Source organism: Homo sapiens, chromosome X, assembly GCF_000001405.40.
Source record: "Homo sapiens chromosome X, GRCh38.p14 Primary Assembly".
Classification (NCBI taxonomy): Eukaryota; Metazoa; Chordata; class Mammalia; order Primates; family Hominidae; genus Homo; species Homo sapiens.
The window spans coordinates 37,435,502-37,462,308 of NC_000023.11; the positions used below are offsets into that span (position 1 = coordinate 37,435,502).

General features: G+C 39.8%; 1 protein-coding gene and 1 pseudogene across 5 annotated transcripts in view, besides 1 other annotated feature; both read left to right on the forward strand.

The window, feature by feature from the left end:
- The window catches only part of PRRG1 (proline rich and Gla domain 1), a 107,928-nt gene extending 86,138 nt beyond the window's left edge, over positions 1-21,790 (forward strand). For 4 of the 5 annotated variants that reach the window (NM_001173489.2, NM_001173490.2, NM_000950.3 and 1 more), the window contains one exon: positions 17,635-21,790. In NM_001173489.2, the coding sequence (NP_001166960.1) occupies positions 17,635-18,120 (486 nt within the window). In that variant the 3' untranslated portion in view covers positions 18,121-21,790. Of the gene's footprint in view, positions 1-5,289; positions 6,724-17,634 lie in introns of those variants that run through there. The other variant, NM_001173486.2, reaches the window with a different exon arrangement.
- FTH1P28 (ferritin heavy chain 1 pseudogene 28) lies at positions 5,936-6,741 on the forward strand (annotated as a pseudogene).
- Positions 25,195-25,942: an enhancer, noted in NCBI's record as "NANOG-H3K27ac hESC enhancer chrX:37319949-37320696 (GRCh37/hg19 assembly coordinates)". NCBI's record gives its function as "activates a minimal SCP1, AML or CMV promoter by ChIP-STARR-seq in primed H9 embryonic stem cells {active_cell/tissue: H9 hESC(primed)}" and the evidence as "EXISTENCE:reporter gene assay evidence [ECO:0000049][PMID:30033119]".

Genomic DNA, 26,807 nt, shown 5'->3' on the forward strand with positions numbered 1-26,807 from the left:
GGGGGGAGGTGGGGTAACTTTGCAATGGAGAAACCTGTCAAACTACTTTGACCTGGTAATCAAAGTTACTAAGTCACACATATGATATACTGAGAACAGACATCATTTATTTCCATCACCGCAAACTCATAACCCCAGTCTAACCATGAGAAACTTACAGAGAAATCCAAAAACCAAAAGACATTCTCCAAAATGTCTGACTACTATCAAAACAGTCAAGGTCATGAAAAAAAAATTAGAAAAGACTAGGAAACTGTCACAGACCAGAGGAAACTAGAGACATGATTAGACGAAATGTCAATTAGATTCTGGAAAAAAAGGACATTAATGGAAAAACTAATATAATCTAAAAAAAGTGTTATATTTAGTTAATAGTAATGGACTAGGATTGATTCATTAATTATAACAAATTTACCATCCTAATGTAAGAAGCTCACATTAAGGGAAACTGGGTGAGGAGTACAGGAGAATGTTATGTATTATCTTTGCAATTTTTCTGTAAATTTAAAATTATTTCAAAATAAGAAAGTTCATTTTTAAAATGCACAGTCCAGGGGTCACAAGTCTCCTTGGACCAGGGAACTTGCCTTATTTGGTAACACTTTATTAGATTCTAAAGAAAGCAGTTTAGCTAAAACCACTTAGAATACTCAGAGCTCTGCAGTGGGTGGTATTTCTAGGGATATGGATGACTCTTTTGTCTGGGTGCATCATCCCAAGTCTTTATCCCATTCTTGTGCACTCCATGTGCCATTCTGCCGCCAAGTTGCTGCTATATTTTAGAAACTGAGTTATTGATATCCAAGGATCTGAGATCTGAGTTCAGCAATCCCTTTTTAGATAATATCTCTCATTCCAAAGTGTCACCATTTAAATTTGTTTATGTAGAAATTATTGGGGAAGAAAGAGATATGCAGTCCCCCTTCACACTAGGATATGTTACAAAAACTACATTTGGAGATTGTGGAATTCAGAGCCCATGGCAGGAGGTGGCATGTAGACACTTGTGAGTTGGGATTAGTGATTACAAGAAATACTGTGTCTGAGGTATCTAAAAATTGATCACTAGGTCCTGGAGATTACTCATGGCACTTGCAGGCAGAAAGTCCGATTCTTTGGCACTGTTAGGGAAACTCTTATTTCACTTAGCCTCTCATGATCTGCTGATGGCACTAGAGCCAGATTCAGAATATTTTCCCCACCCCTAGTGACTAAAGAGTTGTTAGGGATGAGAGAATTCAGGAAAGAAGGGAGGTGGAAGTCCAGTCTGGGCAAGAAATATAGGAGGCAAACATGGGGCATTGCTGTGGCCTTCTTCTAGCCATACCTTATTCATTTCCATTGAGACCTTCTCCTGCCTTCCCTAGACGCATCCCAGACCCTCCTTGGGGAACCAAATATGAAGTTTCCCTTTAGGCACATGGGTGGTTTCCTGGAACTCCCAAAGGCTTCCTCGCTACTTCTTTTGGAACCTCTTGAAAATAAGTTAAATAGGGCCAAAATATGTCATTTTGTGCAACTGGTATTCTGAGCTACCTTCTGTAAAGATGAGGGAGGTCTGACTGTTGCAGGTCAATAACATGTTGTTCCTTATATGATTCATTTAAAGTACGTTTTTATTGATTATATCATTGATATTGTTTTTAAGTTAGTGGTGAACTTTAGTCTCTGGCAGTTGGGCCCATTTGTAGGTTATAAATTATTTGTAGTGTCAATTATTCATGTCAGGTTATGGTAGTAACTGAATTAGGAGAGTTTCAGCCTGTATGATATTAATAAAGTAGTAGACTTCTTCAGTCAGGGCGGGGGGGGAGGTGCTCTCCTGCCCATGCCAGCAGTATGTTAACCTTGACCTATAAAGTTACCTCAGCAAGTTTCCTCTCCCAGTACCAGTGCCAACCTTTTTCAGAACTATCCTCAGAGACTGGGTACCAGTGAGGCTGACAGATCTATTTGTTGTCACTTGTAGAATCATTTGCACCATGGATTTAATTTAACTTGTGGACCTGTCACCTATCATGCTGCTGCTTTGGGATCCTTCACTGCTTAATAAGCAGTACTGTCATGGTTAGGAAATGGCTCATGTATCCATTACAGAGCTGCAACCAGTCAATGGAATTGATGACAATAAAACACTGACATTCAAATTGGGATTTGAGTAGAACCCTAGGGCAGCAACTTTGCTTGGTAAATGTCTAAGGCATCTATTTTTCCATCTGAAAGATGATGTCAACATGTCTCCCATAGCATGCTGGGAAGAAGTTAGCTATGAATTCAGAGAATAAGGGGCTAGCTGTTACCTAAGGAATTATATTCTTTAGCCTAATACAGTAAACCTCTCCCTCTAAAAAAGGACAAGAAGCAGCAAAAACCACTCAACCAATGATGAGAGAGAGGTGTTGTGAAATGATATTGATAGCCAGCAGAAAATACCATTTTTTTTTTCTTTTTTGTTGGTTTCTATGGGAGGCTGAGGTGGGCAGATCACGTGAGGTCAGGAGTTCGAGACCAGCCTAGCCAACATGGTAAAACCCCATCTCTACTAAAAATACAAAAACAAATTAGCCAGGCATGGTGGCATGTGCCTGTAGTCCCAGCTACTCGAGAGGGGGAAGCAGGAGAATCACTTGAACCCAGGAAGCGGAGGCTGCAGTGAGCCGAGATCGCACCACTGCACTCAGCCTGGGTGACAGAGCAAGACTCCATCTCAAAAAAATAAATAAATTACTAAAAAGTATAAATAATTATGGGTGGTGAAAAAATATAGCTACTTTGATAAATGTATCCAGGCAAGTAGATGACCAAACCAATTAAACATCATATTTCATTGATTCTCTAATCATTTATTCATATTTTAACTTCTCTGAAATTGAGGTGCAGTTTACATACTATGACATGGCATGGATTCGTTGAAAGCAGAATTTTTTCCTTTTTTTTTTTTTTTTTTTTTTTGAAACACGGTTTCGCTCTTATTGCCCAGGCTGGAGTGCAATGCCATGATCTCAGCTCACTGCAACCTCTGCCTCCCAGGTTCAAGTAATTCTCCTGCCTCAGCCTCCCGAGTAGCTGGGATTGAAAGTGCCCACCACTACGACCAGCTAATTTTTGTATTTTTAGTAGAGACGAGGTTTCACAATGTTGGCCAAGCTGGTCTTGAACTCCTGACCTCAGGTGACCCACCCACTGCGGCCTCCCAAAGTGCTGGGATTACAGGCGTGAGCCACCATGCCCGGCCCTTTTCTCTTTTTTAATACATAAAAATGGTGTACTCTTCAATTCGTGCTATGTTATATTTGATAAAGTACAGCAACCAACCACCACTGCTACTCACTTCTCAGAGGTTCTGATCTGGATGGGGTGACTACTGTAATTCAATTATTGTTATAGTGGGTATCTGCTGATTTCCTTAATAACGGGGTTTCACTAGTTCCTTCTTCCAATGTTAGGGTACAGTCCCCTCTAGGGCAGGACATTTGATCATGACTCTCATGGTTGGTATATCAGTAACTATAGAAATAAGATTCAGTTTAGCCATTTCCAAAGTACAATAAAAGGAATTGCAAAAGAATTTGTAACTTTGCCATAGCCCTATGTTGTTAGCCCAAGTCTTGGGTACTGTCAAGCTGAAACAGGAAATCTGTCTCCTAGTGAACTACAACAACCAGTAGATCCAAAGAAGGCTCTGGTTTTCCTTGAACTGTATATTTCAGAGGGTCACACTAATGCTATAACTTAAAATGGCATTATTATTTAAATATTAAGATAGTATCCAATTCCAAAAGCTAATATTTGATACCAATCACTGCTCATCATGAATAGGCTAAAGGCTGCCTTTTCATTCCATCCCATTGTTGAAGAATGACTTATGGAATTGGTTCTAATCATCTTTTCATGGAGTCCACAAAAACCAAATAGGTCAAACTGTTCATTTCACAAATGAGGAAATAGCCCCAGAACTGTTGATTTGCCCATGTTCTCATTACAGCATACTGATGAAGCCCAAAATAGGAGCCAGGTCCCAGGTCATCTATTTCCATCTTCCTCATTCCCTTCCTCCCCTCCTCCTCATTGAACACAGTGCCCTCCTAGTTTAATTAGTGATGGTTATGCCAGGGGCTTTACAATGAAACAATTTACCTTCAGGCTTCTTATGCCAGTCCTTATTGGGCCAGTAGTAAAGACACATGACATGGTACTTATTCAAGCTCAGATATGATAGAAACAGAAAAAGTGGTGGCTGGTACCTATTCTTAGTCTTAGCCTTTGTTTTAATTTCTACTGCTTTAAAATTCTTTTTTTTTTTTTTTTTTTTGAGAGGGAGTCTCACTCACTCTGTTGCCCAGGCTGGAGTGCAATGGTGCAATGTCAGCTCACTGCAGCCTTCGCCTCCTGGATTTAAGTGATTCTTCTGCCTCAGCCTCCTGAGTAGCTGGGACTACATGTGCCTGCCACCATGCCCGGCTAATTTTTGTATTCTTGGTAGAGTCGGGGTTTCACCATGTTGGCCAGGCTGGTCTTGAACTCCTGACCTCAAGTGATCCGCCTGCCTTCACCTCCCAAAGTGCTCGGGTTACAGGCAGGAGCCACCGTGCCTGACCTCTACTAATTAAAAATTCTTTAGAACAATGTCCTTTGGGATAGACAAAGCAGGTGATATTCTTTCCATCTTTAGACCAGTATTTTAAGTGTCCAAAAGACCAGTGATACTTCCAATTTCTGAATGGAATTGGAACTTGGGGCTTTTGATTCTTAAGCCAGTTTTCATTAGCATCATACCATGTAGCTAACACACTTGCAGCCTAAGACAGAATGTCTTGAAGAGAAGAAAACCTAATAGAACCTACAATATAATTAGGCCGATTTGGGAGGAGTATAGGAGGAGGCTGATTTCCTGTTATCTGGGAAGTGGCAATCTGAACTTTTAAACAGACAATTTTGAACTTTTTTGGTTTGAGGCGGAGATCAAGTTCAAGGCAGCTACCTTTTCGTTAAAAGAAACTGATGAGGTTTCATTATAAGCCTAGAGTAATGTTTGAAAGGGTAGAAGAGATGATAAAGAAGTAGTTCTATCTAAAGTTATTGAAAATTTTCAATGCTACAGAGATTCATTTTTATTACTTTGAAAGACAGATTATAAAGATCCAGGAGGGTATTAAGTAAAATGGGATAAATTAATAAAAATTATAATTCCCTATTAACCTAGGTTTTATATTAGTTTTTCGTTAAAACTGTTGCATTCCACTTTGCTGTTTTCTATTTTATTTTATTATTGTTTTAAAATTGAGACAGGGTCTTGTTCTGTTGCCAAGGCTGGAGTGCAGCTGTGAACATGGCTCATTGCAGCCTCAACTTCCTGTGCCCAAGTGATCCTCCCATCTCAGCCTCCCAAGTAGGTGGGAACCACAGGTGCATGCCACCATGCCTGGCTAATTTAAAAAACAAAATTATGTGCAGACAAGGTCCCACCATGTTGCCTAGGCTGGTCTCAAACTCCTGGACTCAAGTGATCCTCCTACCTTGGCCTCCCAAAGTGCTGGGATTTATAGGTGTGAGACACCATGCCCGGCCATCTATTTTAAAATATTTAAACTCAAGGCAAACTCTAGACAAAACAGAACTAAATCTGGAAGGAGCTATTATACCAGAAACAAGAAAATGTTACCAAAAATATCAAATTGATATTCTCAGAATTTAAGAAAACAATAGGTTTGTAAAATGAGAAGAAGCTATTACAGAGGGGACCAATTAGGGGATAAGAGAAAGTCCTTGGACATTAGAAATGTTACTGCAAAACTAAAAACTGGACACAGGTCAGACAGTGCAGAGTTCACTGGGTTGCACATGGAACATAGTACTCATTCTCCTCCCTGCCCACTTCCACTGAAAAGGAATGCATCCCTCCCCAGATAATGGACCCAAATACCCACTTCCGGCCCTTTCCGCCATTAGCCATCCGCCTTCAGCCAGCTACTACTACCACAGCTCCCGCCTGCCTGCTCACCACATCCCAAGGTGCCTGCCATGGCCACCACCCCAGTGTTGCAGGTGCGTCAGAACTACCACCCCAACTGCGAGGCCGCTGTCAACAACCACGTCAACCTGGAGTTGCATGCTTCCTACGTGTACCTGTCCATGGCCTTCTACTTCGACCGGGACAATGCGGCCCTGGAGCACTTTAGCCGCTACTTCCTGCGCCAGTTGCACAAGAAGAGGGAGCACGTCCAGGAGCTGATGAGGCTGCAGAACCAGCACAGTGGCTGCATCTGCTTTCACGACATCAGGAAGCCAGAGCGTCAAGACTGGGAGAGCAGGCTCGAGGCCATGGAGTGCGCCTTCCACCTGGAGAAGAGTGTCAACCAGAGCCTCCTGGAGCTACACCAGCTGGCCATGGAGAAAGGTGACCCCCAGCTATGCGACTTCCTGGAGAGCCACTTCCTGAACCAGCAGGTCAAGGCCATCAAAAAGCTGGGTGACTACCTGAGCAACCTGTGCAAGACGTGAGCCCCAGAAGCAGGCCTGGCAGAGTACCTGTTTGACAAGCTCACCCTGGGCGGCAGCGAGGAAGACACCTGAGCCAAGATGGGCCCCACAGCCACGGTGTGCCTTCCCTGGGTCAGGCCACCAGGCGGGGGCGTGCATGTTGCCCTTTCAGAACGTTCTCTTCAATTTTTTTCCTTTCAGTGTTACCATTATTGGCAATAAAGTTATCTGTTCTCAAAGCAATAAAGGTGTCCAGTTGATGCGTGCCTACAACACTCTCACCTTTTAGGAATCAGGGCACATCCCCATGCAGGCTTAAAGTAGGTATCCAGCAGTCTCTCCACCCAGTCCTGTCCCATCTGCATGCAGCTCAGGATCTGTGGGGGTGGAGGGGAAAGGTATTCTATGGGCCCCTGGAAAACACATTAGTCTTCCCCTTATAAACTCTGAGGGCATGTGGGATAGGGTGGGGTGAGGTGGGGTAGGGTGGGGTGAGATGGGTGGGGTGGATGGCGTCAGGTGGGGTGTGCAGTCTTGGGCCATGGTATATGTGGGTGCATGTACATGGTACAGTGTAAAACAATGGTATGGAATTCATCCTAGTGGCTGCCTCTGGGGAAGAAGTGAAGGGAGTGGGATTGGGCAGGGATTAAAATAAAGGGGGTCTTCAACTTTTCATGAACACTTTTTTTTAAAATAAGCAAATGATAACTTTTCTTGTTTCTAGACAGCAAGATGGGGGCTCTGGATGACAGCAAGGCAGAGTACCTCTTTGGCAAGCTCACCCAGAGTGACAGTGATAATGGGACTGAGCCTTAGGTTGGCTTCCCCACAAATATGGGGGTGATTTCCTGCATATTGCCCTTACAAATCCTCTACTCCTGTTTTTATTCTTTCAATTGTGCCATTTCTTCCAATAAACTAATATGGAAAAAATATACCTCAGTAGAAGGACTGAAAAATATAAGGTCAAAGTTGGAGGTCAAATTTGTGATATGAATAGAAAGTAGATTAAATACCCCCAACTGTTAAGCCAGTGACTGGCTGCTTTGAAGAATGTAGAGGGGTTGGGGAGAGTTGAAGGTGCAGAACAGGTAGAGCCATTGTAGCTGATCCAGATGAGAGCCTAGTGTGGCTTGAACTGTGGTAGTGGCTGAGGAAATGAAGATAGATTCACTAGTTCCAGATGGATTTTGGACAAGGTGACAAGTTTTGCTCATGGACAGAAGGTGAGGACTGGGAGATGGGGACAATAAGTTCTGGTGTTTGATCTTGAGCACCTGGGTTGATGGTGCTATTCTTAACCTCAGGACATTTGCAGTGGGGACACCTAGGGTAGAGGGCTGGGGAATACATGTCATGTGAAATCTTAGATCCTTATTAGGTATCCAAATGGAAACGTGAATCAAGTAGATGGAAAAATGAATGTCAGCTTTGGAAATATACGTAAGGGAGACATTATAGATGGTATTGAAGTCATGTGATTGGATGAGCTCACCAGAAAAAGTGTAAGAGAGAGTTTGACAAATCTATCCCCAAGCTCAGGGCAGCTAACATTTAGGGTATAGTTGAGATGTTTGAACACCCAGAGAGTTTCTGTTCCCACCTGACCATTACCTTATTCCAGACCATGGCCCCCAGTGTCCACTCCTAGTGTATTTTCAAATCAGCTTGTCCTGATGTAAGTGTGACCTCTGGTTTCTCCTTTCTAGATGTGGAGAAGAGTTCTTTTGTCTTGTCTTATGGCTATGGATAGAATGAAATTATTTCCTAGTAAGAAAAAGATTCCTTAGAGAAATGGTAGTGATGTAAGCCTACGTTTTTCTCCTCTCTCCTTTCACAACTTTGCCATATCTTTTGGCCTATTCTCTACCTAAACAGATGAAATTAGTATGTAAACCTTAGATTATGCATGTTTCTGAAAAACTACTCAAAACATTTTGTTCCTTCAGTGCTACATGTAGATTATTATATAAAAGATAAAAATTACAGGTTTTGTATACAGTATTCAAAGTTACATGTGTAGCTCGAGTCTTTTTAAAGCTAACTGGTTTGAACAGTAGTAAAATATGAACAAGTTTAGCTATGCAATCATTACCTTATTTCATAACTGTAACACTTTCTTAAAAATGAGGATTATGGTCATATAAGTTTCCAGAAGGTATTCTTGCCCCTTTACTCTTCTAACTTGGTCCTCTCACTATTTCTTTATCTGCCTGATTTGAGGATCTCTCCCCTCTCTGACTTTGTCTCAGATCATATATATTTTTTCTCTCCTAGATATGAGGAAGAACAAAGCGAGCATCTTTTTGTGAGTGTTTACATTTTTAAAACCATCAGGTCACTGCGGATTCTTCTTACTTTCATACTTTGGAGAGAGTTTGCTACAGTGGTTTCTTAACTTCAGATTGCCTGGGTTCAAATCCCAGCTTAGCCATTCGTGTTGACTTGCACAAGTCATTAAATTTTTTTGTGCCTCAGTTTCTTCATATATAAAATAGAGATCACAAAAGCATCAACCTCATTGGGTTGCTGAGATTAAATAAGTTAATATATGTAAATCACTTACAGCAGTGCCTGGCATGGTGTAAGTACATTATGTGGTAGCTATGAGTTATCACCATAATCACCCTCATCACCCTCCACTCAATTCTAAGATCCTTTGTATTATTTACGCTTTGGGGGAAAGACTTCACTTGTATACATTAGCACTGTATTTCTACCCATCATGTCACCCTGCATACAGAGATGGGAAAACCCTTAGAAGCTGGTTTGGTTGTCAGGTGCCACCAGAACTCAGGAGGGTACATGGCTGTTTTTGCTGTCCCACACACAGGCTCAAGACTAGAGACAGGTTTTGTTGTGATAGCTTTCTGTGTAATCCCCCCCAATTCTATCTCAACCAGCTTTCCCTTGAATTCACCCCTAGAACACTGTGCTTGTTCTTCCCAAACCCAGGTTGCCTGAGCCTCCTATTTCCACCCTTAACTTCCTCCCACTCCTCAGAGATGGACAAGAGCAACAGGATGAAATCCTAACCCAGATCCCCACCTTCATCTGGATGTTTGGAGCTGAAAAGGAGAGGAATGGCTAGGCGGCGCTTGACAGGAGAATGAGAAAAAGGGAACACATTAGAGCCACTGATAACATAACTAAAATCGATACATCATCATGAGCTTTGGCAAAGAGGCTCTCAAGCTTTGCTGCACATTCAAATCACCTGCAGAGGTTTTAAAAAATTTCAATGCCTAGATCAAATACATAAGCTTCTGAGGCAGGACCTAGGCATCCCAGACATTAAAAACCAGTGTTAGCATCTTACTGCTCAAAGTTGGTCTGGACCAAAGTATCAGTCTAAACTGAGAGCTCATTAGCAATGCAAAATCTCAAGCTCCACCCCAGAGCTACAGTATTAGAATCTGCATTTTAACAGGCTCCCAGGTGATGAGTGTGCACACTGAAGTTTGTGAAGCACTGCTTTAGCATCCTGGTTCTCTACCTAGCTGTACCTTGGGATAACCTGGGATACTGAAAAATAATACTGATGCTTGAACTTAAACAACTTACTCGATCATGCCCCCATGCACATACTGCACCAAACACCAAAAACTTACTGTAACTTCAACAACGATTATTGAATTGACAAATATCCGGAAAGACTTGGAAACTTTTTCTCATTTCTGTTTATGTTCCACACATATATAACATGTGCACACTTTTAATCATTGTTTTATAAATCATTTGGCAACCTATTTGTTTTTTCACAAGCATGGGTTGGAAACAATATGGCCTAAAAGCATATGGCCTAGAAGCCAAATATAGCCCACCATCTGTTCTTGTAAATAAAGTTTAATTAGAACAGATGCATGGCCGTTGATTTACGTATTGCCTGTTGCTGGATTCATGCTGCAAAGGTAGAGTTAGTATGTAAGACTAAGACTGTATGTCCTACAAAGTCTAAAATATTTACTATCTAGTTCTTAACAAAAAAATGTTTACCAATCCCATTGTATAGTAACTTATCACAGGCCCTGAATTTACCTAAAGCCACCAAATATTTTTAAATGTGCAATTGTCTTTGTACCTCCAATATGGTCATTGCAGTTTGGTGCGTAATTTCCCTATCAAACACAATGTGTAGCAGAAATGAAAGCAATATACTGTATTAATTTAACCTAAGATGATAATGATTTAATATAGCACCTCCATGTAAGAGGAGTATAGAAGATACTTTTGGTTACTTAGCCAACAGCCATTTTACTCCTTCATCCTTATTAAGGCAATACTGAATTTTTTGGGGGGTTGGTGAGTAACAATGTGTCCTATTCCTAGTAATAAATTGAAATTAGTCTACACAGGTTCCTAAACTTTGTCTGGATCTTTAACTGGCTGCTATCTCAACCTGTAATTCATAGCCAGGATTCTAGAATGGGTTACCTGTACCTGTTGACTTCCCAGAAATAATGCATTTCTTTAAGTGTTAGAAGAAGTAATACATCCGTAATGTTCAGAAGTAAAATATATAAAATGATATGTGATGAACTTCCTCATGTCCCTGACTGCAGGCTCTCAAGTGTCTTTCATACCAGCCCCACTGAAAGATTACCTTCCTTAGGAGTTTTCCATATATCCTTTCTGTCTTCCCGTTTTGTGTGTTACTATAACAGAATCCCTGAGACTAATTTATAGAGAGGAGATTTATTTAGCTGACAGTTCTGCAGGCTGGGAAGTTCAAGGGGCATGGGGCTAGTATCTGCTCAGATTCTGGTGGGGGCTTTTGTGCTCTGTCATGACACAGCAGAGAAGGTCAAAGCGGAAGTAGGCACATGTGAAGAGGGACCAGACCTGAGGAGGAACCTCCCTTTATAACAATCCACTCTCTCGGAAACTAATCCATACCTGTGAGAACTAGTCCAGTCTCTCCAAAGCAAGAATTCACTGACTGCAGCGAGAAGGACACCAAGACATTCATGTGCCACCCCAGACTCAAACACCTCCCACTACAGCCCATCTCCCAACACTGCCACGCTGGTAATTTAACTTCCAACATGAGTTTTATTTTTTTTTCAGTGAACATAAAATAATTGTATTAAATATAACAAAACATAACAAAAGTATCACATACAATGTTATAGTACCATTTAAATATAACACAGAAAAATACTACAAAGTAAGAAATACAAAAACAAAAACTAGGTAAGATTTTATTTACAATAATGGTGTGCTTGCCTTGTTCATAAATTCATTCCAGTCTGGAACACAGGAAGATAATGCTACCCGCATAGCTGGTGCACCATTCAGCCCATTTCTTTCCTTTGTTTTTAACAGGGTTAAGATAGAAAACCCTAGTTCACACAAACTAGATGTGAATGGTAGTAATAGCAGGACACTCTTTCTACTTAACAATGGAAAGTCTTCCTTTACCTTAATCAAAATGCTGATAAACTTAAGGTCTCATAATCATTCTTCAATGTATATGAAGAACTAAGCTGCAATAATTCATTCTCTTCTTCAGGCACCAAGTTTAGCTCAATTATTGATTCAGAGTTTCAAAAAGCAAATGGATCTTTTACCCAACTGTTTTCCCTTAATGTTTCAAATTTTTCTTCTGGAAAGAAATGGTTAAAAGTTTGAGATAGAGAAGTGAGATGCAACAATATCTCTAATTTTATTTCTTTCAAAATGTTTTCATTAATATTCTCTTCAATATGTTGCAAAAATCTTGGAAATATGTAGTAGCTAGGATGATTACTTTTAAATCTTGCTTGCCATAACAATAATGTCTTTTGAAATCCCTGGATACATTCAACACCAACATGAGTTTTAGCAAGAAGAAACCACATCCATACCATAGCACTTACAAACTTTTGTTTTATGGAGAAGTATGCATGCCATGGATATATACCAAATAGTAACATAATTCACAGTATCCTGCAGCTTACGTTTCTCTCCTTAATGATATAAAAGAATGAGGTTTTAGCAGTCAATTTACATACTGGTCACTAGTGACATTCTGGGACTTGGGATTTCTCCTTTTGCTCATTACATCAGGACAGGTACCAATCCTCCCACTTCTTTGGTTCTGTTACCAGTGTAGGGTCTTGACGAGTCATCCAGGTTCTTGATGTGTTGAGCAAAGAATTGGACAAAACACACAAACAAAGCAACAAAAGAACGAAGCAACGAAAGCATAGATTTATTGAAGCAAAAGTACGCTCCACACAGCAGGAGCTGAAGAAACAGGCGGCTAAAGAGCCCCAGTTGCAAAATCTTCTGGGGTTTAAGTACCCTTTAGAGGTTTCCTATTGGTTACACCCTGTGTAAATGAACACCTGACCTGTGAGCAGTCAGAGGCTGAAGTGAAGTTATACCCTATGCAAATGAAGACTTGTCCTGCAACCAATTGAAGGCTGAAGTGGAGTTACACCCTATGCAAATGAAGACTTGGCCTGTGACCAATCACAGGCTGAAGTGAAAGCTCCCTATCTCCAGACCCTATTCTCCTGCTTCAGTTCTATTCAAGTGTCCTGAATCCAAACCATAACCATTTGCAAATAATTCCATCTAAATTACTAGAATTTCCTTTATGTAACCTGTGTGCCACCTTACAAAATATAGTGCCCATAATTAATTGAAACAGCATGCCACCAACCTTTGGTCTTCATCCCCCAGCCATATCATCTTCAACTGGTAGTAAATTGAATTGATGCTTATCATGCCCAGCATAATATTGTTTCCCAGTAACTTGTCCATCTTCTACTGACAGTTTTCAAGATAATACCTTACTTTTTGACAAAAGAATACAAAACGTATCTTTTAAGATACTTTTTAAAGAGCTAGAGTCTCCCTATGTTTCCCAGGTTTGTCTCTAACTCCTGGGCTCAAGGGACCCTCACACCTCAGCCTCTGAAGTAGCTGAGGGTACAGGTTTGTGCTACCACACCTCCACATTATGTATCAGTTTAAAAATGATCTGTTTCTACTTTTTCATAGCTTAGATATACATGTTACTACCTTAGAGACAAAGAAATTGACCCAAAGATGTTCAGTGACTTGCAAGTCCAGCCATTTTCCCTAGAGTATCACTTTTGATAAGGAGTCTTAAAAAGTTGGACTACACTTGCTTGGATTTTCCAACTTGGGGGTATTTCTGCCTTCTACTCTCAACAAGGCAGCTTTTGGAGTTAGGATTGGTTTTTAGTCCCCCGTCTCCTAAGGTCCTTCCTCCCCTTTAATGTCATTCTCTTTCAAGGATAGGGAGAAGCTGTAGGAGAGCTGTATATAAATGCTGCTAGGCCCTCCTCATCAATACATACTCAATGGGAAAATCATCCACTTCCCAACTTTTTTATGTAGGTTCTGACCTGATTGATCAGATTGCAAAACATGCCCCACTCTACTGTCTTTGCAATTATGAAAGCCTTGAGGTCAGGCCTTGAGTCACTCAAATTGTGTTCGTAAATGGCAGTGAGAACATTCAAAACAGAAAAAGCACACATTTTATAAAAGGGAAACAAATATTCTTTGTAAGAATCTTGCACCCAGTGCATTTTGTTCTAGCACTCAGCTCACAGGATGAAACGTCTACCTCTTGGGGCTCTTCCCTCTGAAATGGTTGTCGGACCTCTCTGGCAGCTCCAGATTGTGTTTATCACTTCTTTAATTTTATCTTAGGCTAAAACCATAGAGTTCCTTTAATGACTCTTTTCTTCATTCACTCTTTTACATCATGCTTAAGATTGCTATAAAAGTATGATTCAATTATGATAGTAATTCTTGTTTAGGCACATACATTTGTGCCACATTATTGCCAGCCACTAATGTTAAATCCTTCTAAAGCACTGCTCTACCAAGTTTTGAAATCATTTGCTTATTCTAAGTATCTTTTTGCTGATTTCAAAAGAAAAAGAACTGTATAAATAGCTTACAGAAACATAATTTGAAATTACTTGTTTGAATGATAATTATTAGAGCTGATTTCACATGAATTTTCTTCTGACCCTCTGGCCTAAAGGACATATCAGTCTCTTTTCCAAATAAATCTGTCATTGTGTTTTTATTCAGATCATTGTTACCTTAATTGAAAGTATTTAATCTGTAAAATCAGGCAGCTTGCTTTTGACTACACATTGAAAATGATGGAAGATTGAATTTTAGGAAAATAGCCAAACTGGTTCTGAATTACTTATACATCAAGGCAGATTGCTTGTTGGTTTGCTCTGGTGCCAGATGTCTTGGATTGAAATCCCAGCTCCGATGTTCAGATGTTAAATGACCTTGACTTTATCATTATGTAACCTCTCTGAGCCTCCCTTTCCTCATCTGCAAAGTGAGGATGATAACAGAGCCTACAGTATTTTATGTGTTAAAGATTAAGTTACTACCTGTAAAATTAAAATCTGGTTTACTAATTCAGTTTTTGCCTAAGCTTTGTTTTTATCCATTCAAAATAAATGCCCAATTATTTCTCTGTAATTTTTTCCAAAGGGGAAAGAATTAGACTAAAAATTTTTTATTTCCCAGAATGCCAAAAAACAGAGAAATTGAATTATGCAAGCAAGCGTGCAAAAAACATTCATGTAGATTAATCTTTGGGTATTCCAAAGTAATGTAGACAATATAAAAGAGCTACATTTTATTGTGTTTTTCTAAGGTTAGCATCATGTAATTATTTAAATCACATATATTTATTGGTATTTTTGGATAAATTGAAATAGAGTAAAAGGAAGTGGTGACCTGAGAGACTGGGAAGAGAGAGATTAAAGTCTCACCTGCAGATAAAGGAAAATTTACTATAGATCAGATACTTGATAAGTTTACTTTATTCTACTTGGTGCGGTTTGATTCCAAATTTGTAAAAGAGTCTGTTATTTTTTAGGAGTGCAACTGTGATTGGCAAGTGTACAGGAGAAAGAGATGTAAAGCAATTTTTTAAATGATGTAAACCAAAATGTTAGTACTGCTTACATCTTATGATGGAACTACAAGTGATTCGTTTTCATTTTTGCTGTTTTTGTTTTGTTTTGTTTTGTTTTGTTTTGTTTTGTTTTGTTGAGACAGAGTTTTGCTCTTGTTGCCCAGGCTGGAATGCAATGACGCAATCTCGGCTCACCCGCAACCTCCGCCTCCCAGTTTCAAGCAGTTCTCCTGCCTCAGCCTCCTGAGTAGCTGGGACTACAGGCATGCGCCACCACGCCCGGCTAATTTTGTATTTTTAGTACAGACAGGGTTTCTCCATGTTGGTCAGGCCGGTCTCGAACTCTCCACCTCAGGTGATCGCCTGCCTCAGCCTCCCAAAGTGCTGGGATTACAGGCATGAGCCACCGCACCCAGCCCCATTTTTGCTGTTTTTACAGGAGTGAAATTTTATATAATTCACTTTTTTCAATCCTAAAAGTGATAGTTATATAAAAAGTTAATGATGTGTAATTTTAGGAGCAAATTTATTGTGTAAAAAGTCTTCATACATCTATATTTAATAGTTTTTACCTGTGAATATATATCCATATTAGTGAAGCCAATGAGTACTTTGACAATTTCAGCTTTTCGATATTATCCTGAGATGAATGCTGTATCTAGACTCTACTTTTTCTTCTTTGGGCTTTTTTAAATATCGAATCTTGCATATTTTCATCTGGATTTTTAGGTGAAATTCATTGTGAACCTGTACAGCCTTTAGTAAATCATACAATGTTTCTTATAACATGTCCAGTTCCTCTTAGAATTATAGAATGTTGGAGTAATAATGTACCTTAGAGACCTCATTCAGGAGTCATTTTTATGACCACAGGGTTCTTTAAAAAGCTATATAACTAAGTGAAGTAAAATATATTACTATAAAACAAGCAGCTTTAGTGGCCATAGTATTAGTTTGGACCAAATTTGGTGTTTTATCTAAATTCCATGCCCTCATGGGACATCTGAGTTCAGAATTCCAGGTGTAATCCAACTCCCTCTATTTGTCCATTTGTTTAGTGAGCTAACTCCTCTCCCCAGCTCTTCTTTTTCCAATTTGCATTCCAAGGGCTCCCTCCCTTGATGCCAGATAATTAAATAATATGAAATGGCAGACATTTCGAATCTTATCAGTGACCCATAATACCTGCAAATAAACATGATTGTAAGAAAAGCACTTTGATAAATGCAGTGAATAGCATTGCAATTGAGGGTGATCTTTGTATCAAAGTAAGGGATAGGTAATCAGTCATTTTGAAGCAGAGATTTGATTATAATATATAAAATTAATTATAATCACTAATATGTATTGAGTATTTATATGCCAGGGACTTAATTAGACATGTTATAAATGTTATCTCACTTAATGCACAGGCAGCCTGTAAGGTAGGTTTGTATTATACCATTTTACAAGTGAGGAAACTGAGGCCTAAAGGAGTAACTTGACCAGGTTTCATAACTAGTAATTGGGTCAAGTTTCCTTTTTATCTTTTAAATACTTCTCCTACATACGTTAAAGTCTTGAACTACTGGACTACTTTTCATTTGGGATTAAGGTCCAGGTTTAGAAGTAACCTAATGTAGCTTCTTCACCAGCCTGAGGTCTCTCCTAGGAACAATATATAATTTTGACCTTCAGTCAACATCTGTGTACTAAACTTTGGGGTTGGAGAGGGAGCTGAGGAGGAATGTCTGGTGGCAAGGAACCCCAAACAGAACCATTAGAAAACAAGGTGTTTCTGGAGTGTTTGAGTACTGAAAGACTACAACTGCCTAAACTTGTACATACTATTAATGATGATAGGGATCATGTGATGAGAATCTTGTAGTTGGATATGGAGAGTGATGATATTTAACATATTTTAACAGTAAATTATTTGGTATAGTTAGTAAAGGGGAAAACCCTCATTACTTATTTTTCCCTCTAAAGTATCATAGCTGAAAATATAAATAACTCCAAGTCTTTAAAAACACTCTTGGATTCTGACTGACCATTTTAGGGAGGATCCAGAAGGAGCACAGTTATGTATTTGTAATTTCTTGTCACATGGAAAATATAGACTTGTAGGTCCTTTGATTCAGCAAATTTGGTTTTGGGTTTTTGTTCATTATGTTCATTGAACCCAGACATTTATTCATCTGGTATTTTCCATCTTTTATTCATACTGATTTTCTATTTATTTTGTATTGTATTTTCAGAAGGAGTTTTGGAGCACCTACACAAAAGCGCAACAAGGGGAGAGTAACCGAGGAAGTGACTGGTTTCAGTTTTACCTTACCTTTCCGTTAATCTTTGGCCTCTTCATTATCCTCCTTGTCATTTTCCTAATCTGGAGATGCTTCCTAAGAAACAAAACTCGTAGACAGACAGTGACTGAAGGCCACATTCCTTTCCCTCAGCACCTTAATATTATCACCCCACCCCCCCCACCAGATGAAGTGTTTGACAGCAGTGGATTGTCTCCAGGCTTTCTGGGATATGTAGTTGGGCGCTCAGATTCCGTCTCTACTCGCCTGTCCAATTGTGATCCCCCGCCAACCTATGAGGAAGCCACTGGCCAAGTGAACCTGCAGAGGAGTGAAACAGAACCTCATTTAGACCCACCCCCAGAGTATGAGGACATAGTCAACTCCAACTCAGCCAGTGCCATTCCTATGGTGCCTGTGGTCACCACCATCAAATGAAGCTGCAAACTTCTTTTTACTCTAATCATTTTTAAAATACTAATGGAAGAACTTTCTAGCACTTTACCACTACATAAATGTTCATTGACTTATTTTATTGGACTCTTACCGCATACCACTTCACACTTGTTTTATTTTCTTTAGTTTTGTTTCTTGTTATAGAATCATTATCCATGCTCATTTTTGCTAGGGGAAATATATGAAGAGGGAAAACATACTAATGGGGGTCTTTCTGTGATGTGATGAGACATACATGTAAGTGTATATATGTGTGTATAGGCATATATACGTGTGTATGCATCAACACAGTATATGTAAAACTGTCTTAAAAATCCATTAACTTCTACCTAAATCACCTGGAAGGAGAGCATTACTCACCAAAATTGCAAAACAAGGGTATCAAGAATTTGTGTAATAGCCAGTGACATGCTGTAGATTTTTGCAAACTGGATGTACTTAGCATGTTTTCTAATTCTGACTGGCTTTTGTTAACTTGATAATTCTTCATCTACCTTAAAAAGAAAAAAATTACACATAGTCATTCTTGATGTTATAAATAGAGAAAAAGTGTGTGTGAGCAATAATGCATAAGCTACTGATAACTTGCTTACAGCAGATAGCAATAAGGTATTTGGTGGCATTCGGCTTGTTTTGTAATAGGGATTTTTTTTTTGGTTGACCACTCCCCCACACTTCCAAAATTAAACAGTGTTTTCTTAGCATCTTGAATATCTCCTGCGGTGTATATTAACATCTTGATGAGACAGATTTCCAGGCAACAAAATAATTTCTAAAATGGATATATGTGTGGATTAATGACAGGCAGTAAATACCCATTACTCCTTTACTCATAGCTGGTAAAATTATTCCCACTGTTTTATTGCCTTTTACTGTACGTTCTACACTCTGTCCTACTCCCACAGAATTTTCAAGCCCTTAAGAGTTTAGTTAAAATAAAATTTTTGAAATTATTGTCTTAATATTTTTATATAGGCTGATGTCTTTGCCTCAAGATTGTTAGGAGGTAATTTTCCATTGAATTATCAACTGTGATTTTTATATTGCCCTCCAAGTGGTAGAAGAAGATTGCAAAGTCCATGTTATGCTAGGTGCACAATAAATCTAGTAATAGCCCCACACAGATCTCATCATTGTTGCTACTTCCTTTTGTATTTTCATCAGGTATTTTTTTAACTGTAGGGTTTTTACTTTTTTCTTGGAGCAGAGAGAACAGGCTGTAAATGGGTTGCCAACATAAGCTGGCTGAGAAATAAAAGAAAACAAGACAGTTGTTCATAAAGTTTCATTTTGTATGCACTGATGGCAAATTCATTAGGTCAGTTAAGGGAAATATTTGTACCACTTCCAAACTTTTCAGCGTTGGATAAAATGATTGATGAGGCAGGCAGAAGGAATGTAGGTTTCAGGTGTGTCATTTCCTGCTGCTTCCAGCTCCATCCCTACAGACTCCTCCCCGAGTCCTGCCCTGGAACCAAAGGAAGGAGGAACACTGAGGGGAATCCTGAAGTAGGAGTCAGATGACCTGAACTCAGATCTCCCTCTATCACATGCTTGCCACCACTGTACCTTGAGCAAGAATCATATCTGACCCTCAACCTCCTCAACTCTAAAATGGGGATAACATCATTTGTCCTGCACTTCTCTAAGGGCTTTACAAGGATCAAATAAGATGGTGTGTATGTAAGAAATTTGTAAAATGTGAAGAGCTATCTACACTAAGTTCGTAATGTTATTATTATTGTGCTTCATGGAGAATTTTCCCCTCTGTTTTCCTAAATTGTATGAGAGCTTTCACACAGTGAGAAATAGAGCAGGCTGCCCCATAAATGGGTAACATATTCCTAATCTGAGTGTGTGGGCTGTTAGAGAACCCCTGCCATGCTCTGGTCTGTTCTGAAACTGTGCCAACTGAAAGATGATAGTCCACACAGCACAAACAGGTTTAAGCAAATGATAGAAAGGGAAGTAAGGCGTGTGTGCTAGTTAATAGGTTTAGTAGCTTTTATGGACTAAAAATGATTGATTGTATCTTGACCCTGGTCTCAGAAATGACATTTTTACTTTTGCCATGAGTACACATCAGATATCTTTGGCTTCTATTTAAAGCTAAAGGTAGAAGTGTTTGATCCAGTGAACTGTGTATGTATGTGTGGGGTTTTTTTCTTTATTTTTAAATGAAAATTAAGACACCTTTTGTGTGGACATGTTTTTGTCTTTAATGTCAGGCTTTAGATTAGACCAGCAGTTTTCAAAGTATGGCCAATGGACCCCTGGGTTCCTTGAGAGCCTTTCAGGGGGGACTATGAGATCAAAATATTTTTATTATAATGTGAAGACATTGTCTTTTCACTCTATCTCAAAAAAAGTGTTGCAAATGTAAAACATTGCCATCTTCTCACAAATCTCTTTTTTTGTTTTTGAAAATATGGCCATTTTTCATAAAATGTTATTTGTGTTAGCATGTAATGGGTTTACTATGTTTAAATAAGTTAATACTTTAAAAATTTTCAGGTTTTTTTAGTATGGTGAATATTGATAGATATAAACCTCATGAACAAAAGTACTTTGGCATCCAGATTCTCAATAAATGTTAAGAGCGTAAGTGTAAGGGGGTCCAGAGACCAAAAGTTTTAGAGCTACAGGATTAGACATAGGAGCAGGATATTCTGTTAGTGTGATTTCTTGCAACTTTATTTTACATTTTAAACTGCTGATATTGGATATAATGCTGCTTTTTAGAGACACCTAAATTGCAGTATCAGAATGAATGTTGATGTTTGAAGCCAAAAAGCCAAATGCTTAAACTGATCAATGACTGTAGCTTTTTAGACTGTTGGTCAAAGAACATTCTACTTCACAGTAATAGCTCTATCAGCCACAGATCTCATGGTGGCTGTTGCATGATAATGATAGGATAAACAAAATACCACTGTCTTCAAGAAACATTATCTTAGGTTTGTTTGTTTGGTTTGAGTTTGATTTGGCTTTTATATTTTTTAAAATCCCTTTTGCTACCCCATCTGGTTTTATAAACTGAGTTTCTTAGCATTCGTTAAAATTAAGGGGTTTGTTTGGAATAATATATATTTTTTATGCTTTTGTCTTTCTTACCTGATTGATATTACATTCACCTTTGATTGTTTTTTAAAAGTTTATTTTTACAGAATATATTTAGTACCTTTCTTAAGGAGTAACTGAATTGAATCAACCAGTTTGCATTTAAATAAAAGAACAGGCTCAGTGGTCTTCCTGTAGAATGGTTTACATGCCTGCATGTGCAGTAGTTGTGTCTGGAATCCTAGAATTGGCACTTTCTGCCTCCTTGCTCTAAATGTCACAAAAAATTATACTTCCTTAAAGTAAATGTAATGATTTCTTCTTTTCCTATTGACCAGTACAGATAGATATGTTGTGTTTGCTTCATTTTTAATGATGACTTCAAGATTGATGATGTGATCCAATAACTGTGGAGGTAGCTTTAACTTGGTTCTGTGTAAATAGTATGTATTTTATTATAATATTTCTCATTTTAAGATGCTTGGTTTACATTAAATTATGGTATTTAACTATTTTTATGTTTATACTAGGTAGGGTCTTTCTTATGTTTCTGTGTTTTTGGTATGCTAAATAAAGCTATTTTTAAACCCAAGAGATTTTTTTTCTGCCATGTGTTAATCATATTATGGTTAGGTGGTAAATACGCTGCATATGTTCTTATTAATTATGTTCTTTTTAATAAGGTAAAATGGTTATGTTTCTTTTTTCTTACGGATTTAGGGAATATAGGTCAGTAAAAACAACAGAAATCATCTGATCAAAACCTCAGAGTGTTCTCAGCATAAGAAAGAACTTTCTATACTACTTTTGAATGACTTTGGCATGATACAAAATGGAAACAATTGCTCTAAAGGAATAGACTGAGCTCCCTGCATAGTGTAGTTTGTCAAGTCCTGGGAATAGTGTTGTCTATAGACGCCAAGGAGCCTGTTGTTTCCTGCTTAGCAGAACAGCTTGCATTTGAAAAGAAAGCACAAGATGAAAACATTGTGACCAAAGGGCATCTTCCTATGTGTAGAGCTCAAAGACTAAAAGTTGGTTTGTCACATCACTAACCAAGAACATGAGTTGATATGGTAACAAGAATTAAAATTATTTACTCCATATTCAAGGATGAATTTTAAATATAAATTATAAGTCTAATTTTATAAGCAAAAGTCCTCAAAGAGTTGTTCAAATAGTCTTTAAAAGGTACTTTTAAAAATCTATAGCAATTTCTAAAAGTTATATAACTTACACATTGATGACTACAATCATAAAACCCAAAACCTAGATCAAGAAATTTCTAGCACTCCAGAAGGCTTCCTCATTCCCCTTCCTTAAAGATACCATGATTCTAACATCTGTCATAATAGATCACTTTTTAAAAGTTCATATTTGGCTGTGGCCATATGGACTTGCCTTTTTATTTATTTATTTATTTATTTTTATTTATTTATTTTTTTTATGAGACAGAGTCTCGCTCTGTCACCCAGGCTGGAGTGCAGTGGCACGATCTTGGCTCACTGCAAGCTCCGCCTCCCGGGTTCATGCCATTCTCCTGCCTCAGCCTCCCAAGTAGCTGGGACTACAGGCGCCCGCCACCACACCCGGCTAATTTTTTGTATTTTTAGTAGAGACAGGGTTTCACTGTGTTAGCTAGGATGGTCTCAATCTCCTGACCTCGTGATCCGCCCACCTCAGCCTCCCAAAGTGCTGGGATTACAGGCGTGAGCCACTGTGCCCGACCAAGTTTATAGGTTTTAGAAGCCCATGCTGTAGCAGGCAAGTGATAACAGGCTTTAATCCCCTTAAAGCCTGTTGTGGGATGGGATACTGGCATTGAGTGGGGTAAGGGTGATTAGGTTTTAATGGGAGAGTAATGGGTGTGTGATCGGTTGCCAGGGAGGGAGTAGAGGTGTCTCATACTTGTGGGTTAAGGTGGGGGGATACGAGAGGAAGACGTGAAGGAGGCTTTGGGTTTAGAAGAAGGGTGGCAATGAGATGTGGCTGTAGTCCAGGAATAGTCAGGGAAGCAGATAATTTGGTTAAAATGTCTCGGCCTAATAAGGGAACTGGGCAGGTGGGGATAACTAAAAAAGAGTGCATAAAAGAACGTTGTCCAAGTTGGCACCAGAGTAGGGGAGTTTTAAGGGGTTTTGAAGCTTGGCCATCAATACCCACAACAGTTATGGGGGCAAGGGAAACAGGCCCTTGAAAAGAAGGTAATATGGAGTGGGTAGCCCCTGTATTGATTAAACAGGGGATGGACTTACCCTCCACTGTGAGAGTTACTCGATGGTGTCCGTGATGGTCCAGGGGGCTTCCAAGGCGATCGGGCAGCGTCAGTATTCAGCTGCTAAGCCAAGGAGATCTGGGAAGGAGTCAGTCAGACAGCCTTGGGCCAGAGTTCCAGGGGCTCTGGGAGTGGCTGCTGGGTGAGTTGGACAGTCCGATTTCCAGTGGGGTCCCGCACAGATGGGACATGGCTTAGGGGGAATCCTGGGCTGCGGGCATTCCTTGGCCCAGTGGCCAGATTTCTGGCACTTGAAGCAAGATCCTGATGGAGGAGGTCCTGTAGGAATGCTTGACCGCTGCGGCTTAGGCATGTGAGGCTTAGGCATTTTGAAGTTCTTGTGCACTGGAGGTGCGGCTGGGTTTTGTCTCACAGCAGAGGCAAGTAATTGTAACTCAGAAATGCGTTGCTGTCTGGCTGTCTCCTCTCTATTATTGTACACCTTGAAGGTGAGGTTGATTAATTCCTGTTGTGGGGTTTGAGGGCTGGATTCTAATTTTTGAAGCTTTTTTCTAATGTCAGGAGCTGACTGGGTGATAAAATGCATATTTAGAATGACACGGCCTTCTGACCCTTCAGGGTCTAGGGCTGTAAAGCATCTTAGGGTTGCTGCCAAATGAGCCATGAACTGGGCTGGGTTTTTATATTTGATGAAAAAGAGCCTAAATGCTCATTGATTTGGGAGAGGTCGGATAAAGAAAAAGGAATATTATCCTTGACTATGCCTTTAGCTCCAGCCACCTCTTTAAGAGGAAATTGTTGGGCTGATTGGGGAGGGCTAGTGGCAGAACGAAACTGTAAGCCGGACTGGGTGTGAGGAGGGGAGGTGATAGAAGGATTATAGGGTGGGGGAGCAGAGGCTGAGGAAGAATTGGAGCCTGATTCAGCCTGGCAGGGAGCGACCTGAGGAGGAGCAGTCTGGGGAGGAGGGGAGAGGTCAGATGGGTCGGTAGAAAAGGAAGATTGAAAAGACTCGTGATGCTTGGGGTTGGGACCTAGGGGACAGGCGGGAGGGAAAGAAGGAAGATTTGGGATGAGTTGCATTGGGAACAGAGACTAGGGAGGGGCCGATGTGTAAAAGAATGCCTGGATATCAAGCACCTTAGACCATTTGCCCATTTTATGACAAGAATTATCTAGATCTTGTAGGATGGAGAAATTGAAAGTGCTGTTTTCTGGCCATTTAGAGCCATTATCAAGTTTGTATTGGGGCCAAGAGGTGCTGCAGAAGAAAATAAGGCATTTAGGTTTTAGGTCAGGTGTGAGTTGAAGAGGTTTTAAGTTTTTGAGAACACAGACTAAGGGAGAAGAGGGAGGAATGGAGGGTGGAAGGTTGCCCATAGTGAAGGAGGCAAGCCCAGAGAAAAGAGAGGGTAGAGACACGCAGAGAAGGGGTAGAGGGTGCTTGCCCCCCAGGAAAGTGGTGCTTGCCACTAAATGTGAAGGATCAAGGCAGGTGTGCCCATGGTGATTAGGCACCTCTGAATCATGGGTGAATAATCAAGCAGGCATCCCCACAGTGGTTAAACACCAAGGGAAGACTGTCTTCCTGAGTCCATGACCGGTGCCGGAGTTTTGAGTTCACAGATAAAACGCGTCTCTTCTGTCTCTACCAGAAAAGGAAAGGAATTGAAATTAACAGAAGGGAGAGATTGAAGGGTGGTGCCAAGATTGAAAGGAGAAAGAGGTTGAGGGATAGTGAGAGAGGGTGGAGAAGAGAGTAAAAAGAGGCTGCTTACCCGATTTAAAATTGGTGAGATGTTCCTTGGGCTGGTTCGTCTGAGGACCTGAGGTTGTAGGTGGATGTTTCTCACAGAGCAAAGAGCAGGAGGACAGAGGATTGATCTCCCAAGGGAGGTCCCCCGATCCGAGTCAGGGCACCAAATGTCACACGTGTCCATGTGAAGAGACCACCAAACAGGCTTTGTGTGAGCAATAAAGCTTTTTAATCACCTGGGTGCAGGCGGGCTGAGTCTGAAAGAGAGTCAGCAAAGGGAAATAGGGGTGGGGCTGTTTTATAGGATTTGGGTGGGTAGTGGAAAATTACAGTCAAAGGGGGGTTTTCTCTGGCGGGCAGGGGAGGGGGTCACAAGGTGCTCAGTAGGGGAGTTTCTGAGCCAGGAGAAGGAATTTCACAAGGTTAATCGCTCAGTTAAGGCAAGAACCAGCCATTTTCACTTCTTTTGTGATTCTTCACTTGCTTCAGGCCATCTGGATGTATACGTGCAGGTCACAGGGGATATGTTGTCTTAGCTTGGGCTCAGAGGCGTGACAGCAGCTTTCAAAACCCTTTGTAATCTGGTCCCGTGAGTTTATCTAACCTTATTTCTTTCTACAGTCCAGATAATAGATATTTATAAAATTCCTATTTTGTGTGAAACACTGAGATTAGAAAGTAATAGTGTCTATAGCCTTTGTCCCTGGGAATTTTTCAATCAGACCGAAAATGGTATCCTTCTAATCTTCTAACTAGTTGTCTAACCTTAAGCTCCCAGAGATTCTTCTTGCCTAAAGTCCCATGGTACTTAACATCTTTATTAGTCTATGCTATGATTTTTTTAAGTTTTTAGCAATGAGACCTAACTGTGAAACAATTTTCATGGAACTCTAATGTATTACACAGATGGGAATGTTGTTGACTACAGAAGTGTGAAGCTTGAATCCCACCATCTGTGACCTTTCTCATCAGCCCTGCTTATTTCAGGTCAGTCCAAGTCACCTCTCCAAACCATAAAATTGGATGAACATAATTGAAAAGCCACTGTAATATAACATCTCCTATTGGTATCCAATTTCATAGCTCCTTATCTTAACACTTCAAAAAAGTCTTCAGAATCTCCTCCACTAATATACTGCTTGGGGTTCAAAACGTTCTTTTTAATCCAGTTGTTCCTAACTCGCAAACATAGCACACTGGCTACCAACATACACTGTAATAATTATGTTAATATAAGAAAGAACCATGAATGTTAATGGTTCTGATTCTTTGTTTATATCATTTCTATCATCACCGAGTTTACCCCTTGTCAGCTTGTCACCCATAAACATCTCCTTAAACCATATTTAATCTCTAAATAAAGACAATAATAAGGTCATAATTCCATCTAACATCCAACTATACTGGGTACAACCCAAAATACACTAACCCCTTCCCCAAAAGAGGAGGCAAAGTCCTTGATTGATGTTTATTCTTCTCCCTGATATCCTATAACTTAAATACTAAGATATAAAATTAGCAATACTTAAATGCTATGATACAAAGTAATACATCTTACATGATAAGGAAATGAGGAAAGAAAACAAAGGTATTTGCTTAACACAAACACACACACAC